Source organism: Homo sapiens, chromosome 10 (genome assembly GCF_000001405.40).
Source record: "Homo sapiens chromosome 10, GRCh38.p14 Primary Assembly".
In the NCBI taxonomy this organism is placed as follows: domain Eukaryota; kingdom Metazoa; phylum Chordata; class Mammalia; order Primates; family Hominidae; genus Homo; species Homo sapiens.
In genome coordinates, this window is record NC_000010.11 from 82,394,932 (window position 1) to 82,413,657 (window position 18,726).

The 18,726-nt window shown below is 37.3% G+C and overlaps 1 protein-coding gene across 25 annotated transcripts in view, besides 1 other annotated feature; it reads left to right on the top strand.

Annotated features, from left to right (window-relative positions):
- Positions 1-18,726, top strand: part of NRG3 (neuregulin 3) — a 1,111,986-nt gene that overhangs the window by 519,738 nt on the left and 573,522 nt on the right. The window lies entirely within an intron of this gene.
- Positions 1,910-2,411: an enhancer, noted in NCBI's record as "NANOG hESC enhancer chr10:84156597-84157098 (GRCh37/hg19 assembly coordinates)". NCBI's record gives its function as "activates a minimal SCP1, AML or CMV promoter by ChIP-STARR-seq in naive and primed H9 embryonic stem cells {active_cell/tissue: H9 hESC(naive and primed)}" and the evidence as "EXISTENCE:reporter gene assay evidence [ECO:0000049][PMID:30033119]".

Below are 18,726 nucleotides of genomic sequence, written 5' to 3' on the forward strand. Positions count from 1 at the left end.
AGTATTAAGCACAACCTAGCCATGCTTCATAGTGGGTCCACAATTTCCCCACTTTTTGATTTGGGGTTCAGATGTGTAACTTGCTTTGGTCAATGGGGAGTCTGCAGATAATTGGAAGTAGAGGCCTGAAATGGGCTCATGAATTGGAATTGCTTTCTCAGTTTCTGTCACCACCATGAGAAGAACGTATGCCAGATAGCTGCTGCCAATTCATTGAAATGAGACCCTCAAAGTACAACGCGTAAATGCAAGATCAGCTGAAATTCAGCTAGCCCACAATTCCCTAAGTCATGGGAAATATGGTGTAGGTCACTGATATATCAAGCTTGTTGCACGTTATTGTGGTAATAGTTAATTGACGTACATATATACCAACACATACCAGCAAGTAAGCACACAGAAAATTATACAACCAATTCTTTCAGGCACTCCACCAAGCACATTGCAGATGTGAAAATATGATCAGGGCAGGATTCTGCTCACCTGATTGAAATTCAGGGATAGATCCCTCCCTTAGTAGACTGTCCATATGTCAGGTACACACAGCTGGGATAATACCTTTATCCTAGTTGTGTAAAACCAGAATAAATAATATGGACTTATAGTTTATCTGATCTAGGCCGAAGTCTTTTAAAGTAAATTATAGACAATATGGCATTATATATCTGTCTATCTTATCATCTACTCATCCTTCCATCATTCATCCATCCATCTATCCATTTATCCATCCATCCATCATCCATCCATTCATCATCCATCCACTCATCCACCCATCCATCCATCTATCCACCCATTCATCCACTTATGAATCCAGGCACTGTTGCTTTCCACAGTCATGTGGGAATGTAAACATGACCAATTAAAGCTGAGTCAGTGCAATGTGATTTTAATAATAAATAGGAGAAATTATTATTGCCCCATGACCTTTAAACATTTTTGTCAAAACATTGAAAATGCTCTTACCATTAGATATAGAGAAATAAAAAAATAGAAAGACTAATATTTATTTAGTAAAATGTAATTTAAGATACTAGAAACATTAAGAATTTAAGTATTTTATTTCTTTATTAAAATCTTATCAGGAGCGGTTTGAACAGGGCTTGGCTTTTTCTCATGGTTATGTAATCTGTAGTATGGAGGGAATGAGTTTTTTAAGCCTTGGCAAATTGCCATACTCCTTTCAAAGACTGGATGAGTTTCCAATATCTTATCCTTTTGAGATTTTCATGGTGTGAAATATCCCCAAGAGTTTTCTTAATGTGAAGATTTTTTTGCTGTCCTCCCTCGCTGCCTCTGGAACATTTTTTTTCATCCTTCTTGTCACTACCACTTTCCATATTTATATCAATAACTTTCCCTTTACTAAGTTCCTCTAGCTGCATAATGGAAGCTCCCAAATGGCAGAAGTGCCAATATTTCCAAGGTCACCTAGTGCTCCTATAATTTCATTTACATTTAATTCAAATTCCACTTCCAGATTTATTACTCTTTGTTTCTTTGTTGTTCTTTCATCTTTATTGACCAGTTCCCTTTTTCAATTGTCCATTTGATAAATGAGTTTATCCCTGGGGGAAAAGGGGGCAACACAGCTACACACTTGCCGTCTACTCATGAACAAATATATGCACAGCAACCAATCGCTGACTGACTTAGAAAGAAGTGATGTGATTGGTCATTGGTCATGAATCTGTTATTTACATAGTGATTTGTTGACTGAAGAGCTAGCAAAGAAGTTTGTAGCTTATGTAATTACTTGCAATTAAGGTAATGGAGTAACTTAAATTTGAACTGTGTTGTTGGGTGACTGGTGTTATTTAATTAAACTGTGCTCAGTGAGGACTGACCATATTTATTTGTCCCTCTCTCACTCTGTGTGTGTGTGTGTGCATGTGGTTAAACTATGGATTTCTAAGTCTTTTTTCCTATAAAGGTAATAGCAATGCTTTATAGCTGCTGGATATGGTCACTTAAAGAATTTGCTATCAACCCCTTAGAATCTGTTATCAACCCTTTAGAATCTGTAGTCTCTGTTTCCAAATCACAGGCTCTGTAACTTTTCTCATTCTTGTCTTTCTGTGAGTCTCCAATGTCAGGAGAACTGCCTCTCCTGTGAGCTTTGTGCCTTCCTGTTGTGTCTGTCATCCTTCTCCCCAGCATGGGGCAATTGGTGTCCCTCTGGGAGTTTTCAGATAGTAATTTGCCCATCTTGGAAGGAAATGGTCTCCCTTTGGCCTCCTTACTTTTCTCAGGGTGTCTGTTCTCTTCTTGCAAATGTCTAGACTCCTAAGACTATTGCCTCCACAGCCTGGAACTTTTAATGCTAATATTGTATAATCTGGTTTGCCAGACCTCATGCCTGGTTTAGAATGCTCATCGGGAAGAAAAAGGTGCTCCCAAATTATGTGGATAATCTTGAAGTTGAATTATTATTTAGAATACAAAATGTATACATTGAAAAGCAAACTCATCTTGTAAGGAAAGGAAACATTTGCATTTCATAGTGAGAACATGGTTTGTCTAAGCAAGAAATAAAATTAAACATAGTGAGCCAATTAGGAAGAAATGATCTGAATATGTATCATTGTGACAATATTAACTCATGACAATTTCTGCTTGTCCCATTCAGTATCTTTTAGACATTTCTAATCTAGAGTCAGTGCAAAAGCCACTGGCCAGCTTCTAAATGCCAGGGTTTTAAATGCCTGTCAAAAATGAATTTGTTACCTTATTTTTTACAAGGACACTTTGTAATGCAAAAGGGCAAAATACCATACTCTCCCAGGAAATATGTGGTAAGGAGGCTAAACCAATATTTTTCTTTTTAAGATAGATAACATCCCTCTTCACAAAGAGAAAAGAGTAACTGTTGTCTCCTCTAAACTATCTTTCAGACGTTTAATGAGAGCCATCTTATCCCAGCGAGTAAAAGGCAAATACCAGCTGCCTCCTGAGAGAGGGGCAAAGAAAGGTCAAGGAAGACCTCCTGCTGCTGGCTTTGGGGGCATCTGCTGTTTTTCTCACCCACAAAGGGCAGTCTGTCTTTGAGCACTTACAGTGTATGCAAGGAGAGTAGCCCAGTTCTGACCTGTCAATCACTAGGTTAGACTCTCTCTGAAACTCTCCTTTAGGCAATGGCATCTAATCTATGCAACAGTCAGAGTGCCAGACACCCAGGGCTTGGGCTAGGCTTGCAGGGCTCGCTGGAGTGGCCCTTGGATCTTAGAACTAACAGAATCAAGGGAAGTGGGAAAGCCAAGGCCAGACTCAGCAGCAGTAGTCCTGTGAAAGAGCTAGACTATGGGGAGAGAAACCAAATAGGAGCTAACAGGTCAGCTGTGGACAGCAAGAGAAAGAGAGAGGTTTTGGAATGAAGGGAAGTGATTACAATCTAGGAAGGTTACTGAAAACCCAGGGCTTGTTTTTCAATACCTTTTGTTAGGTCAATATAGCCTCTCCCAAATTTTAAAAGGAGTTTTGAAGAGGGCTAAGCTAATTTGAACAAGTGAGATCAAACAACTTTGGTTCCAACTGGGATCTTCTAGTCATCTTGGCTTCGTGTATGTGTGTGTGTGTGTGTGTGTGTGTGTGTGTGTGTGAGAGAGAGAGAGAGAGAGTATGAGTGTGTGCCTGGCAACGGTGAAATCAGTAAGAGGTTAACAAGTTCTTTTGTTTCCCCAGTTGAATTTAGGCATAGTAAGTAAACAAACCGACATTTTAACATGTGCTTCAGAAAACGGGAAAGGTAAAAGTCACTTCCAAAAGGCCCAAGAAATGTGCACATTTATAGCAAAGCAAGGGTGAGTGGAATTTGAGTACATAATATAGAGAAGCAAACCTATGGTAGTACCAAAAATTCCGCCAGTGATCATTCCTGGGCTTCAGGACCTGCCATGATGCCCTGGAAATGAGGCAGAAGGAATCAGCTTGAGCTGCTTTTCCGACTTGATGAAGGCATTCCTCCTACTGCAAGTTTCTCACCCCCACTTAAGTACAGAAGGAAGCAGGATACACCAATTGCTTAGAGTATTTCCAAAGGATTTAATGCAAGACTGTATTGAAATATGCTTTAACAACTTCTACAATTTCTGAGACTATGACAAGTGATAGTTAATTTTGACATTGCTGACTGTGGCTGCCATTTATTCTTAGCACAGTTATTCATTGTACTATCTGGAATACATGCCTCCTTTTTAGTTAAATTAGAATCATGATAATTAACAAATATTTTTCATTGAAAAAGTACATTCACCTAATAAGCAAAGAAACATAAAAGACCAAAATGACTACTGCTATGATGAAAGACAGGATAATTTTTTTATTTGTTCTAGACGTACCAAATAGAAGGGAATTACACCAACTCAAACCCAGGGCACATGTAAATAAATAAAAGTATAATACAAAATATCTTTCTTAAGATGTCAGAAGAAAATTTAGCTATTCTGAAACTCAACAGCAGAAACTGTTGTATTTCCCATACTAGGAGTATCAATAGGCAAGTGTCTTAGTTCGAGCTGCTATCTCAGAATATTATGCATTGGGTAGTTGATGAACAATAGAAATTTATTTCTCACAGTTCTGGAGAGTGGATCCCTGAGATCAGGGTGCCTACATGGCCTGGTTCTGGTGAGGGTCCTCCTCCAGGTTGCAGACTGCCAACTTCTAGTTGTGTCTTCACTGGGCAGAAAGATAAATGTCTAAATCCCTTCCTCTTCTTAAAAAGACACTAATCCTATCATAGGGGGTTTACCCACAAAAGCTTCGCCTCTTAGTACCATCTAATTGGGGGTTAGAGTTTCAACATATTAATTTTGAGGGGACACAAATATGCAATCTATAACAGCAAGGCATTGAGAGTGGAGATTTATATGAGCCAAAGCAGAATCACAGACAAATCATCAACATGGTTGTTGGCACATAGGCATTTGCTAATTGTTTCCTTTATTTAATTTAGCATTTGGAAATATATAAATTTATCTACAGAAATAGGATTATGGAGGCATCTAAAACTCCTCTGTTGTACTTCTATGCCATTCAACAAATACCTGCTCTCTGAAAGCCTTCAAATTGATGTCTGCCCTTAAGGGAGATGAATGGGAGAAGATAACTAGCAGTGAGCAAACACTATATCTGATCGTTTACAGATATTAAATAATTTAATCGCTAGAAAAAGAAAGCAAAGCATAGATAACATATATAATTATCCCACTTTTAGAGATGCAGTTCAGAGAATTTAAGTGATAAAATTATCTAGTAATAAACAGCATTGTCAGTAATGTTAGTAATAAAATCTGAAAATACTACCACTTATCAACCACACACCACGCAGAAGGACCTGGGCTAAGCACTAGATGTATATTTTATCCTCTCAGCATCCCTGGGTGTTGGCTACTGTTATTTAAATTGCATAGGTGAGAATATGAATGGTTCCTAAGAACTGTGCTTCTCAAAATTTTATCTACATACAAATAAACTACTGATCTTGTTAAAATGCAGCTTCAGATTCACTAGGTCTAGGTAGAACCTGAGGTTCTCTGTTTTTAACAAGCTTCAGATGACACACATGCTGCTGATCCATGGATCAAACAGAAAAGCTGGGGTTGAGAGGTGAAGTAACTCGGTCAAGTACATGAGGCAGATTCTTTTTTTTTTTTTTTGAGACAGAGTCTTGCTCTGTTGCCCAGTCTGGAGTGCAGTGGTGTGATCATAATTCACTGCAACCTCAAACTCCTGGGCTCAGGTGATTCTCCCTCCTCAGCCTCCTGAGTAGCTAGGACAATAGGCATGCACCACCACACCTGGCTAATTTTTTTTAATTTTATTTTTAATAGAGATGAGGTCTTGCTATGTTGCCCAAGCTGGCCTGAAACTGCTGAGCTCAAGCCATCCTGCTGCCTCAGGCTGCCAAAGTACTGGAATTAACCAGCATGAGCCACCATGCCTGGCCCAGATTGACTCTCAGTGGAGAAAAGATCAAACTGTTATTTGTTTAGTTCAAAATTGCAAGTGCATCTTGCCACCCTGTGCTATCTCTTCCTTGGGTTTGGCAATTCAGCTTAGTGGGGAGAATGAGATGTGCACAAGGATGACTATGAGACTCAGTACTAATGGCAACACACTCTCAGACAGAGGCAAAGAATTCCACCACCGTCTCTGCCACTCAGGGCTTCCTGGAATGCAGAATATCTATGAGTAATTCCAAATGGATAAATGAGGATGATTCCCAAAAAGAGGTGTCTGGTAAGCTAAACCTAGAAGACTGAAGAAGATTTTACACATAAACACATAAGAATGTATATGTGCATGTATTTATATATGTTATATTGTATACATATGCAATATAAATCTATAATATACAAAATTTATACATACACATGTATATGGGTGTGTAGCTATATATAATGTATGTATATAAATTATATGTATATATGAATATGTATGTGTATATTCACACACACATTATATATAGACACACACATATACATATATTTTGATATCTATCTTTTGCTTCTAGATAGAGAGAAGTATGCACAGATTCTATACAGTATGAGGCAGGATCACAGGACAGCTTGGTATTTTGAATGTACTTTGATTCCACAGATCATGTAGATCACACAGTATTTTCTCTTCCCTTCTCTTACATGAGGGGCACCCGGATATAGGACACTTAGAGTAGCTTATTGATTTGCTTCTCTACTTGTTAGTAAAATTTTTAATAATAGGGGCTATGGAATTCTTGATCTTAGAATACCTAGGGCCCTAGATCTTGTCAATTCACAAAAATAATTCATTTGAATTATTTGATGTTCTTATTTCAGTTTTATTTGAATTAAATTGCTTTTGATATTTGCCTTTAGTAATTCAACCTCATTTTCTTAAGATTTATAAAGTTTTTATTTGGCATTAATTTGGAAAATCAGATATCGTAATTAATTTAAAGTCATAGAAAATAAAAATATGAGAGCACCTAGAAGTTTGTAAGATGATGTTCTATTGCTTTATTGGCTTTACTCAGTTATTTAAAACAAAGTTTATATGCAATAAAATTAGTATAAAATCCAACTGATATTGAGAAATATCAACAGTAATTAATCAAATTAGGTTTCTATGATAAAACCTCATTATTAAATTTGATTTTATTTATGTTGACATTTTCTAAGAAACATCTTTAGAAAGAAAGCATTTGAAATCTTCTGATTATAAATATTTAGCCTCTTATGTTATCATAAGAGGCATATCTATTTTAAAGAAGCCACTGAGAAGCTGTACATTAATTAAGAATACTATTTATTAAGAATAAATAGTCATAGAAATAAGGGTGCTGGTAGTTATGATTCCCCAAATAGAATGTCACTTCTGTTAACCACAATATTCAGCCATGAACCTTCTGAAATTTCAGGCCAAGAAGAAAATAAAGTCATGTCTATAGCTGTGCCTAGTTAGTAATCAGAAGGTTGAGTTTGGGGGAAAAAACAAGCTTTTCTCCTTTTCTAACCAAAGAAGTTGTTTTTATTTGGTGTTTGTTTATTTATTTTCAGCTGTTGCTCAAGCAGGTTCCTCAGGTACAGACTGACCCACACAGTATAACAGGCCAGATGGTACGACTTTAGAACTTTAAGTCATATTTACTATGTGAGAATTTTTTTACTCATTTATTTCCTTCTTCATCTTTCCAGGGACAGCCTGTGAATTGTGCAGTGAATTCTTTCAGTATCACTAACCTGAATCTTTTTATAATATCCTCTTTTACCTAAATTTTAAAAGAAATCAATAAAACTTTTAGTTATTATTTGGCATTCAGAATTAGATTCAAATACGTCTATGTGGGTGCCTGTGCGTGTGTGAGTGTGTGTACCTGCTGGTAAAGACACTGAAGACATCATTCCAGCAAAAATTGATCACTGTGTTTTTGGATTTGGTCCCAAGTTATTTTCTGTGAGATCCTCTTTCTCATTTTTGCTTTTGATTTTGACAGAAATGACAGCTGAAATGTATCTCAATAATTGAGTTTTTAACTTTTTTTAAAAAGATAGCTTACTCAAAGCAACTGTTGTTCATAGCTGTTGTAATTTAAAGGAATCTATGTGATCTTTGCAAAAATAACTTTCCTAGGATGAGGTCAAGAATGAGTAATGTACAACCACAGAAAAGACGTGACATGCCTTCTTGTCTGAAACACGTGAAGACACAAGGAAGCCTTCATGCTAGGTAATTATTTCCAGAGGAGCTTCCATGGGACTTCATAAAAGCATTGACTTAATGATGAAATATTGACTCTATTTTCTCAGTGAACACTCTATTCATTTGAGCATCCCATCATTCAAACCTTGTAAATCCTTTCACAGTCTTCGGGAATAGGGTCCAGATTGTCATCCGCATCTTGTCTTCAGCAGCAAAAAAATACACACTCCTCCCCCACTCAGAGAAACTGCCCTTTAGCCAACATTTTGTGTCATTTAATTATTTGCAAGATTCATTAATTGGCAACAGCCCTTCCAGATTTTCCTTAGAATTAACAATATTCCACTATAATTTATAGATTATGTGTCACTCTTCTTCCTCAGCTTGAAAAGGGCATACATATTTCAAAATCACTTTTGAATCTTGAAATTTAAACATTTTCCCCAATGACATCTATTTTAATGCACATGATTTAAAACATGAGCTTTTGATATAAAATAAAGATAGTTTGAAAGAAAAATAGCAGCCTCTAAGTTTTCATATGGTTCTTCCTCCTGGGGATATTTCTAGAATTGAAAACACTTAAGAGGGTGCAGAATTCTTTGTCGAGTGCTTGCTTTTGCTTATTTAGAAATAGAGGGACAATGGCAGAGAGGGGTATGAACTCTCCTTTATCAGACCTGCCTTCTGGGCTCATTTCTATATCTTATCAATAATATGACTTTGGACATACAATTCCAAATCTCTAGGTCGTAGTTTTCCCATCTGTAAAATGGGAAAACCCTCAACCTCAACAAATTTTTTGGGGGGTTAAAAGTGAACTAATATATGAAAAACAATTTTGTATGCCCTGAATTATTTATGGAATTTTGTAACTTGAGGTTTGCTGACCTAAGTTGTGAGGTTAAAGGTTTAGATATTGGAATTATACTAACTTCTAGGCTGAAAGTGAGCTCTGCCATTCATGCTCAAGACTGTTTGCTTTCTGACATTTTAGGTTTTTATTCTTTCCAAGTATTTATCACAATTAGGGAGAAGGCATTCAAACCTTAGTATAAATGGTTAATCTGAATACAGACTAGGAAGACTTGGGTCATTCAAATTCACAAACCTGTGTAAGACTGCATTGCTCACCCCTTCGGGATGGTTTTTCTTGGTACTCATTGGACTGCAAAGGGTAGCACGGTACTGTGCCACCCCAAGACGACCTTAGTAAGAAGCCTGGGTAGGATGCAGCTGTTCAGGGGCTAGTGTCTGCTGGGACTATGAGGTTCTAATTTAACCTCACCTAATGTCTCACTTCTATTATTATCCAATTTTACAGCCAGTCCATGTGAGGCACAGCCTTGCCAAAGTTACATGACTAAATAGAGAAGCTGCGATTTAGAACCACATTTTCTCACTCCAAATCTTGCTATCTCAATCATTATATTGTACCTTATTTGCTGAATGAATGATTGAATGAATGAATGAAGGATGAATGGGTAATAAATAGAGAGACATTTTACTACATAAAAGCTTTCCTAAGTTATGGGAAAATATTTCTGAGATAGTTATTTCTGTATATTTGCTAAGGGATTAGTAATTTTCAAAGTTAGGATGCCACATGTCATAACTGGAGTCTATTACAGTTAATCTTATGGGGTCTGAGTTAATGCGCTATAATGAACATGGTTGTAAACAGAAAGGACACCCATTTTTGCATTAAATGCCATTAGCTGGTCTGAGAGCACCTTGAGATTATGACATACTCCTCATTTTGCCATTTTTTTCCCTGTCAGCATGGAGCACAGGTTCTGGTAGAGCGAGAGTGCTTTACAAAGACTTGCTGAGGATGAGTGGATTAAATCTTTCACTCATCCAACCGCTTAAGTCCCTGCTGCACTGAGTTAGGAGCTGGGTCTAGAGTGGTGAGAGAATGATCCACAATTTCTGTTCTGATGAATATTTGGAACAAATGAAGGAGTGCTCCAAAGGAAATTGGGATGGTGTGTGGTTGAGGACAATGAGGGTACTAAACAAAGTGAAAAAGACCTCAGAAAAGTGGTCGAACGAGGCCTCTCTTGGCAAGTCACATATTATATTAGATATGTGAAGGTGATGTTTGAAGGAAGAGAGTGAATTAGAAGGATGTGTGCATACCAGGGGCAAGCGCATCTAAGGGAGAGCAGCCCTTGCAAAGACCCTGTGCTGAGAGTGGCATGCTTTGCCTGAGAACCTCAAGAATGGCCATGGTGGCTGGAACAAAGTGAGTGAAGGGTAGAGTAGGAAGAGATCACGTGTTAATGGCATGACAGAGATTGTTCATGAAAGTACCTTTTCTATCTTTGGAATGATCTCAGTAGTTTGTTTTTTTTTTTTTTGAAATGGAGTCTCGCTCTGTAGCCCAGGCTGGAGTGTGCAGTGGCATGATCTTGGCTCACTGCAACCTCCCCCTCCTGGGTTCAAGTGATTCTCATGCCTCAACCTCCTGATGCACACCTGAGTAGCAGGGACTACAGGTGTGCATCACCCCACCTGGCTAATTTTTGTATTTTTAGTAGAAACGGAATTTTGCCATGTCGGCCAGACTGGTCTCAAACTTCTGACCTCAGGTGATCCACCCGCCTCAGCCTCCCAAAGTGCTGGGATTACAGGCGTGAGCCACAGCGCCTAGCCTGGAGTGATCTCATTCTTTTTGCTTAGAAAGATTATTAAAATATTTCGCAAATGATTGGACCCTGAGTAGATTGGCAAGTTAACTTACAGAACTAGGTTTGAGAAAGTTTTTCTCTCAGATTTGAATTGATTTGCTTGAATCATTTTTTTTTCTAATTTTGTCCAACCATTAGCTCTGGAATATGGTACATTAAAAACAATTTGCATTGCTCCATTGCTGCTAATATCAAGGTCAATATTGTCAAAAGGCATGGAGATAGAAGGTCAAGATGATGCCTCAAACAGCATCAGTAATTTAGGACAGCCTGTCACAAGAGTTAAAGTGATTGATAAGCAGGAAGAAGTATGAACAATTCATTATAAAGGGGACTGGATGACTTAGATGTTAAGCCTACTTTAATTTTCTGCATAGCAATTATATTGCTGATTCACATATGAAAGTATTAGGAGACTTGGGATAATTGCAGCTGAGGACACATCTTTTCCATTGTTCGTGGGACATAACTAAATTCTCTGATAAATTAATCATAGAACTTATGGGAAATAATTTAAACAGCAACAACAATGATAATACCTCATATCTCTACAGCACATTGTTGCCTTCAGAGCACTTTCAGGTAGGCCATTAGACAAACCAGTGAGGGAGAAAAAGACTGGCCTGGGAAAGTTAAATGACCCTGGTTCCACTGAAAGTTCATGGAAATGCAGATCTTGTGTTAATCATGTCTTCTCCTTCAGTCACTTCTCAATTCTACCTCAAAAGCTCAGACTCTTAAAGGTTTCACACCTTGCCTTGCATTATGTGCTTGAAGCCCAGCAATAACACTGGAACTTGGGTAATGCAGATATCGATTGCCCAATTTACAGACAAAGAAACTGAGTTGCAGGGAGGTAATGTGACTTCAGTCAGAGAAAGTGATAGAATACTACATTCTGACTCCTGAGGATTTTTTTTCTTATTAATATTTTGAGTACATAAAAATTGTCTAATCCCATGAGCTTGGGAGCTTGTTGACTTAGAAACTAGGTCTTTTGTACATTGAGACAGGTACCGTTTTCCTCTATCCAAAGACAAAATTGAATTATTTTCTGTTACGACTATTCTCTAGGATGTAATTTATTTTTAGGGACCTTTCATTTCCAGACTTCCAGAAGATTCAAATTGGAATCTTCTTATCATCATTACTATTCTTTTTATTATTTTCATATCCAGGGTGTCTATAAATCCTCTTATTTTTTTTCTTGTTCTACTTTCCCCAGTAAATAACCTTTTGTAAGAACCACCCACCCCCGCCCCCACCATTCCAGTGTCTTTTTATTTTATTTTTTTTCCAGTGTCTTTTATTTTGATCCTGCTTCAATTTTAGAAGATCACAATAAGAAATAACATGGGGAGAGCAGACCTAATAGAGATTAGGATCCATCATTAGACATAAATGAGACACAGAAGAGAACAATTAAAATTGGAATCCTACAGGTATGAACTGTTACCATATAATGTTTTTTTAAAGGTGTTAGCCTTTCTCATCCTTAAATTGCCTTCAACAGGAATTCTCTTTTTGGAATATGTAAACCATGGGTGGGATACAGAAGTAACCTACTCTAAATGGAAGGGCAAAGTGGTGATAAGATTGGGTTTTTGAATCAGATAATCTTGAGTTCAAACCTCAACTCTATCACTTATGAATTTGTGATTGTGTAAAAGTTAAGGAACCTCTGTGTGGTAGTTAACTCTTCTGTCAAATGGGAAAATGACTTTGTCCCTCATAAAGAAGGTGTGAAGAGAATAAAGACACACAAAATAATGCCTTACTGTGCTTAGTTTAGCTTACAGATGGATTTATGTCAACCCTAGATGTGCGTGGGTGGACAGCTGATCACTGTTATTTTGCTTTTATGACTACTGTATACTGAACGCTCACTCTGCCAGGCAATCTGAATGGAGCTAGACATTCAGTGGAGAATGAAAGACATTAGATCCCTCTCCTCATGAAGTTTACATGTTAAAATAGAAAAATATAGGCCGGGTGTGGTGGCTCATGCCTATAATCCCAGCACTTTGGGAGGCCAAGGCAGGTGGATCATGAGGTCAGGAGTTCAAGACCAGCCTGGCCAACATGGTGAAACCCTGTCTCTACTAAAAATACAAAAATTAGTCAGGCATGATGGTGCGTGCCTCTAGTGCCAGCTACTCAGGAGGCTGAGGCAGGAGAATTGCTTGAGGTGAGCTAAGATCACACCACTGCACTCCAGCCTGTGTGACAGAGCAAGACTACATCGAGAGAGAGAGAGAGAGAGAGAGAGAGAGAGAGAGAGACAGAAAGAAAGAAAGAAAGAAAGAAAGAAAGAAAGAAAGAAAGAAAGAAAGAAAGAAAGAAAAGAAAAAGAAAAGTAACAATTTGGAAATGTACTTCGAAGGAAACTAATAAGATGTTATTACAGAAAACAGAAAGGACAGGTACTTAAAGTGGTCAGAGAAGGCCTTTTGAGAGGATGCCCCAAAAAGAGTATACATCGTGTAATCAAATACTGTGGTCAAGACTGTTCAGCACAGTGCATATCCTGTGCAAAGGCTCTGAGATGTGATCAAAACCACTTAAAACTGATGTATCATCAAGGAGTTCATGATTCAATTCAACTCTCCTTAAGTAAAAGATGAATGTACCTTTTTCAGACATGATATTTTAACTAGCTCATGAAATAGATCAATTTAGCACAAGAAGTATCTTTTCACATGAAGTTAAATGGTTAAATTTATAAAGTTATTACATATTACAAATCTATACTCCAATTCTTGATGAACGTTTCAAGAACATGTTGACTTTTCTCAAGGAAAATGACAAAACTATACATTTCATATATATATTATATATATATATATATTCTTATTTATTTATTTATTTATTCTTCTGTGATTTTCCTCAGTGGCATTTGCTAATCATCTAGTCCAGGAAAGCTCTTGGGAAAACTATTTATGTAAGGTAGATACCATGATAATAATAACGCAAGAGAGAGGAAGTCACATAGACTAAGAGTGGTTCTGTATTTCCAAGGAGGAATACATTATTTATTGCTGAGAATTTATGAAAAATTTTGCAGAATAGGAAATCTATAAGTCCTAATTCTATAAACATGATGAGGAAACTTTTCCACATGTGGAATTTCATTTTAATAAGTGACTATATATAATGCCATATATCAGCATTATGCTTAGACTGGCACAGAGGGTGTCTGAAGGGAAATGATAGATGGGGAAACCTAGGTGGCCCCATGTAATAGGGGATCTGTATTTTAAGAAGTTTAGGCCTTTTTATTTTATGGCAGGGAGAATTCAGTCCAAAAACTATGGAAGGTTTACGGTTAGAATGAAAATTTTCTGAGCAAGTTATCAAGACTATCTACCAATTACTTCAATAATTAGGCCTAAAGTAAAGCATTTCTGAATTAGATAAGTCATTTTTATTTGTACAGAAGAACACTTCATTAATATATTTCAAACCAATGGCAGGTTTACAAGTTATTTAATAGTGGCATATAAGCATAAAGCAGTTGGAAGAAACCAATAGTGATTTGGATAATGCTTGTGTATATATTTTCAAACTTATTTATAAATAATAAATTAGCACTCCATTAAGAACACATGAGATCATGATTTGGGGAGTGGAAAGGGAGGGAACCCATGCCCGGATAAACAAAGAGTCTAATGAATCTAATGAGTCTGAGCTGGGTAGAAAATATTAATAGTAGTCAACATTCTTTCATGAAGGACGTGGGATAAAAATGTGTCCATTATTTGTGCTGGATGCTGAGTGGTCTGGATGGCTCATTGTCAGAAAAAACAACTTTCTTCACTGCTTTTTTGTTCTAGTAACTCTTGCTGTATAATACGTTAGCCCAAAACTTAGTGGTGTGAAACAACTGTTTTATTTTGCTCATGATTTTTGGCTTATGAATTATAAAAGAACCCAGGTGGACAGTTCTCTCTTGGGATCCCTCACACTGTTGCAGTCAAACATTTTCTGGGCTGTGGTTGATTGGCCTGCTCATATAAGATGGTTTACTCAGGTGGCTGGCAGTTGATGCTGGCTGTCAGCTGGAAACTCAGCTGGTGTTGTCAGCCAAAGCATCTACATGTGGCTTTGTCAGCTTTGTATTCTTAAAATAATCAGACTTCTTATGTGGCAACTGGCTTCCCACCCTGAGCAAGCGCCCCAAGAGACCAGAGGGTAGCTGAGCCTGCATGGTCTTCTGTGACCCAGCCTTAGTAGTCACCCAGGGTCAATTCCTTCATACCGTATTGTTGAAAGCAGTTAGTCTACCCAGGCCCAAAGAGAAGAAACATAGAGTCCAACTCCTTGTAAAAAGAGAATTAAGGTTTTTGTTTGGTAAAGATGATGACTGCTACAGATTTCTTAATGATTTGTGGTCATTAAGAAATCTATGGCTGGGCGTGGTGGCTCACGCCTGTAATTCCAGCACTTTTGGAGGCCGAGGTGGATCTTATCTTATGTATTATTATATTCTAAACATAATATAATGGGGACCATTTCTTAATGAAGGCATTGATAATGAAGACCTCAAAAATACATGGAGGGATGCCACGACATAGTTGAACTCTGATACATTATGTAAATGAAAGAAACCATTCAGAAAAGGCCACATACTGTATGAGTCCATATATACATATATATATATATGTATATATATATAAATAAAATGTCCAGAATACACAGAAACCACAGAGACAGAAAATAGATTAGTGGTGGCTAAGGGGTGGAGGGAAGGGGAAAATGGGGAATGACTGATAATAGGTATGGGATTTGGGGGAGAAGAGTGATGAGAGGTTGATGGTTGTACAACCTTCTGAATATTGTACAACCTTCTGAATATTGTAAAACCAGTGAATTGTATAATTTAAAAGGGCAAATGTTTGTGATATCCAAATGTATCTTTTCTTTTCTTGTATCTCAAGAAAAGAAGAAGTTCACAGATGAATTTCTAAAATCTCAAAATACTGTGTTATCAATTCCAAAATTAATATTCTTGCATACGTTAGCACTCTGGAATTAGTCTCATGATAGCTGTGTGATTGTTTTCTCTCTCAGTAGTACACAAAGTGATGTTGTATCATAAAATTCACTACATTTTAAAGTTGATAAAATATGGTATATTTCTGATTTTACTTATCACCAGATACAAAGGTAACTATTGCAAATCTGTATTTCAAAGAATTTACACTGGACAAATTGTTGGATAGATTTGCCTCAGGCTCCTGAGCAGCTGGGATTATAGGCACCACCACCATCCCTGACTAATTTTTGTATTTTTAGTACGGACAGGATTTCAGCATGTAAGCCAGGCTGGTCTCGAACTCCTGACCTCAGGTGATCTACCTGCTTCAGCTTCCCAAAGTGCTGGGATTACAGGGGATTACAAAGTGCTGGGCCGCTCCTGGCCCAGTGTTTTTTACTTGATATTTATAAGGAGGAAAGGAAGGAAGAAAGAGGAGAAAAAGAAGGAGGAAAGATGAGGGAAAGATAGGACAGGTGGAAGGAAAGACTGATTTTACCAAATGACGTTTGTTTGTTTTTGTCTACCTTAATTCAAAACAAGCTCTTGCTGGGAGGAATGGAGGCTGAGGAAGCCATGACCAAAAGTATAATTAGTATCACTGCAACGAGCTGGGGTAACCTCAGGCATGTCTCAGAGCCTCTGTCGTCCTCAAACATCAAATGAAGGCATCAACAATTGCAAACGTTCAAATCTACTGATATTTCCTCCACTCCTTAGTTGTTCTTTGTCTAGAAAACTCCAGCCTAATCTTTGGACTCTGAACACTCATCAGAAAACTATGATGTCTCTCTTAAGCTCTCAGACATTTGAGTATTTACTCTGAGTTCTAAGTGAATAACTGTTTGAGAATGAGTCCTTCACTAAATTGTAAGATGCTCCGGGGTCAGAAAAAGGCTATTATCTTCACAACTGTGGCTTCTGACAATTGTTTGGCCAAGTGCTCAGTTAGTATGAATGGAGGGAATTAAGGTGGGGCCTTAGCGCACCAGAAATTCCATATCTTAGGTTTTAGGTAACAGAGGCCTAAATTCTGGCAGAGCAGTAATAGAAAGAAAGTTAAACATGTGGCTGAGAGAAATCAAGAGAGATGGGAAAAAGAAAGCGAGATAAACTGAGTCCTTATTATAGGAAAAAGTTGATTCTATTAATCCAAGCAAAGTCAAGAAGAAGAATGAGTCTGGAGTATAATTCTCTGGAGTGGCATAGGAGCCATTAGCATGATTTTACGTTTCATGTGGATAACCATTTTAAAAATGTCAGTAGTTGTGTCTTAATGTGTTATAGTAAGAAAAAAAACTAACACATCAAATTTGTGATATTACAGTTAATGTTTCCTAAGAGTGGGCAAATAATGACAGGGAATTGTTTTAATTCAGTTGAAAGAATTATAATGATAGGTAAATGTAGGTATACATTGGGAACGTTGTGGTTTCAGTTTCCAGAGGTTTGAGACCACTGCAATAAAGAAAATGGTGCAATAAAGCAAGTGACTAGAAATGTTTGTTTTCCCAGTGCATATACAAGTTATGTTTACACTATACTGTAGTCTATAAAATATGCAATAGCATCATGTCAAAAAATGTACATATCCTAATTAAAAAACACTTTATTGATTAAAAAAAGGTAACAATCATGTGAGCCTTCAGTGAGTTATAATCCTTTTGCTGGTGGGGAGTCCTACCTCAATGTTGATGGCTGCTGACTGATCAGGGTGGTGGTTGCTGAAGGTTAGGGTGGCTTTGTCAGTTTCTTAAAATAAGACAACAATGAAGTTTACTGTATCATTTGACTCTTCCTTTCACAAAATATTTCTCTGTAGCATGTGATGTTGCTTAATAGCATTTTACCTACAGCAGAACTGCTTTCAAAATTGGAGTCAATCCTCTCAACTACTGCCACTACTTTATCAAATAAGTTTGTGCAATATTCTAAATCCTGTGTTGTCACTTCAACAATGTTCACAGCATCTTCAACAGGTGTAGATTTCATCTAACAAACAAACAAAAAAACACTTTCTTAGCTCTTCCCTAAGAAACAATGCATTATTTGTTCAACTTTTTCATGAGATTGCAGCAATTCAATCATGTCTTCCTGCTGTACTTCTAATTCTAGTTCTCTTGCCATTTTCACTACATCTGCAGTTACTTCCTCCACTGAAGTCTTGAACCCCTCAAAATCATCCATGAGAGTTGGAATCAACTTCTTTCCAACCTTTGTTATTGTTGATATTTTGACTATAGATCCTTAATAGTCTTAATGGCATCTAAAATGGTGAATACTTTCCAGAAGGTTTTCAATTTACATTGCCCAGATCCATCAGAGGAATCACTATCTATGGCACCTAGGGCCTTATGAAACGTATTTCTTAGATAATAAAATTTGAAAGTTGAAATTACTTTTTGATCCATGGGCTGTGGAATGGATGTTGTATTAGCAGGCATGAAATCAACATTAATCTTGGAGCTCTGGGGTGACCAGGTGCAATTGTCAATGAACAGTAATATTTTAAAAAGAATCTTTCTTTGTGTGAGCAGTAGGTCTCAATAGTGGGCTTAAAATTAGTAAACCATGCTGTAAACAGATATGCTGCCATCCAGGCTTTGCCATTCTATTTATAGAGCACAGGAAGAGTAGATTTAACATAATTCTTAATGACCTTACAGTTTCCGGAATGATAAATGAACCTTGGCTTCAACTTAAAGTAACCAGCTGCATTATGTAACAAGAGAGTCAGCGGTTCCTTTGAAATTTTAAAGCCAGTCATTGACTTCTCTCTAGCTATGAGGGTTTTAGATGGCATCCCTTCCATTAAAAAGC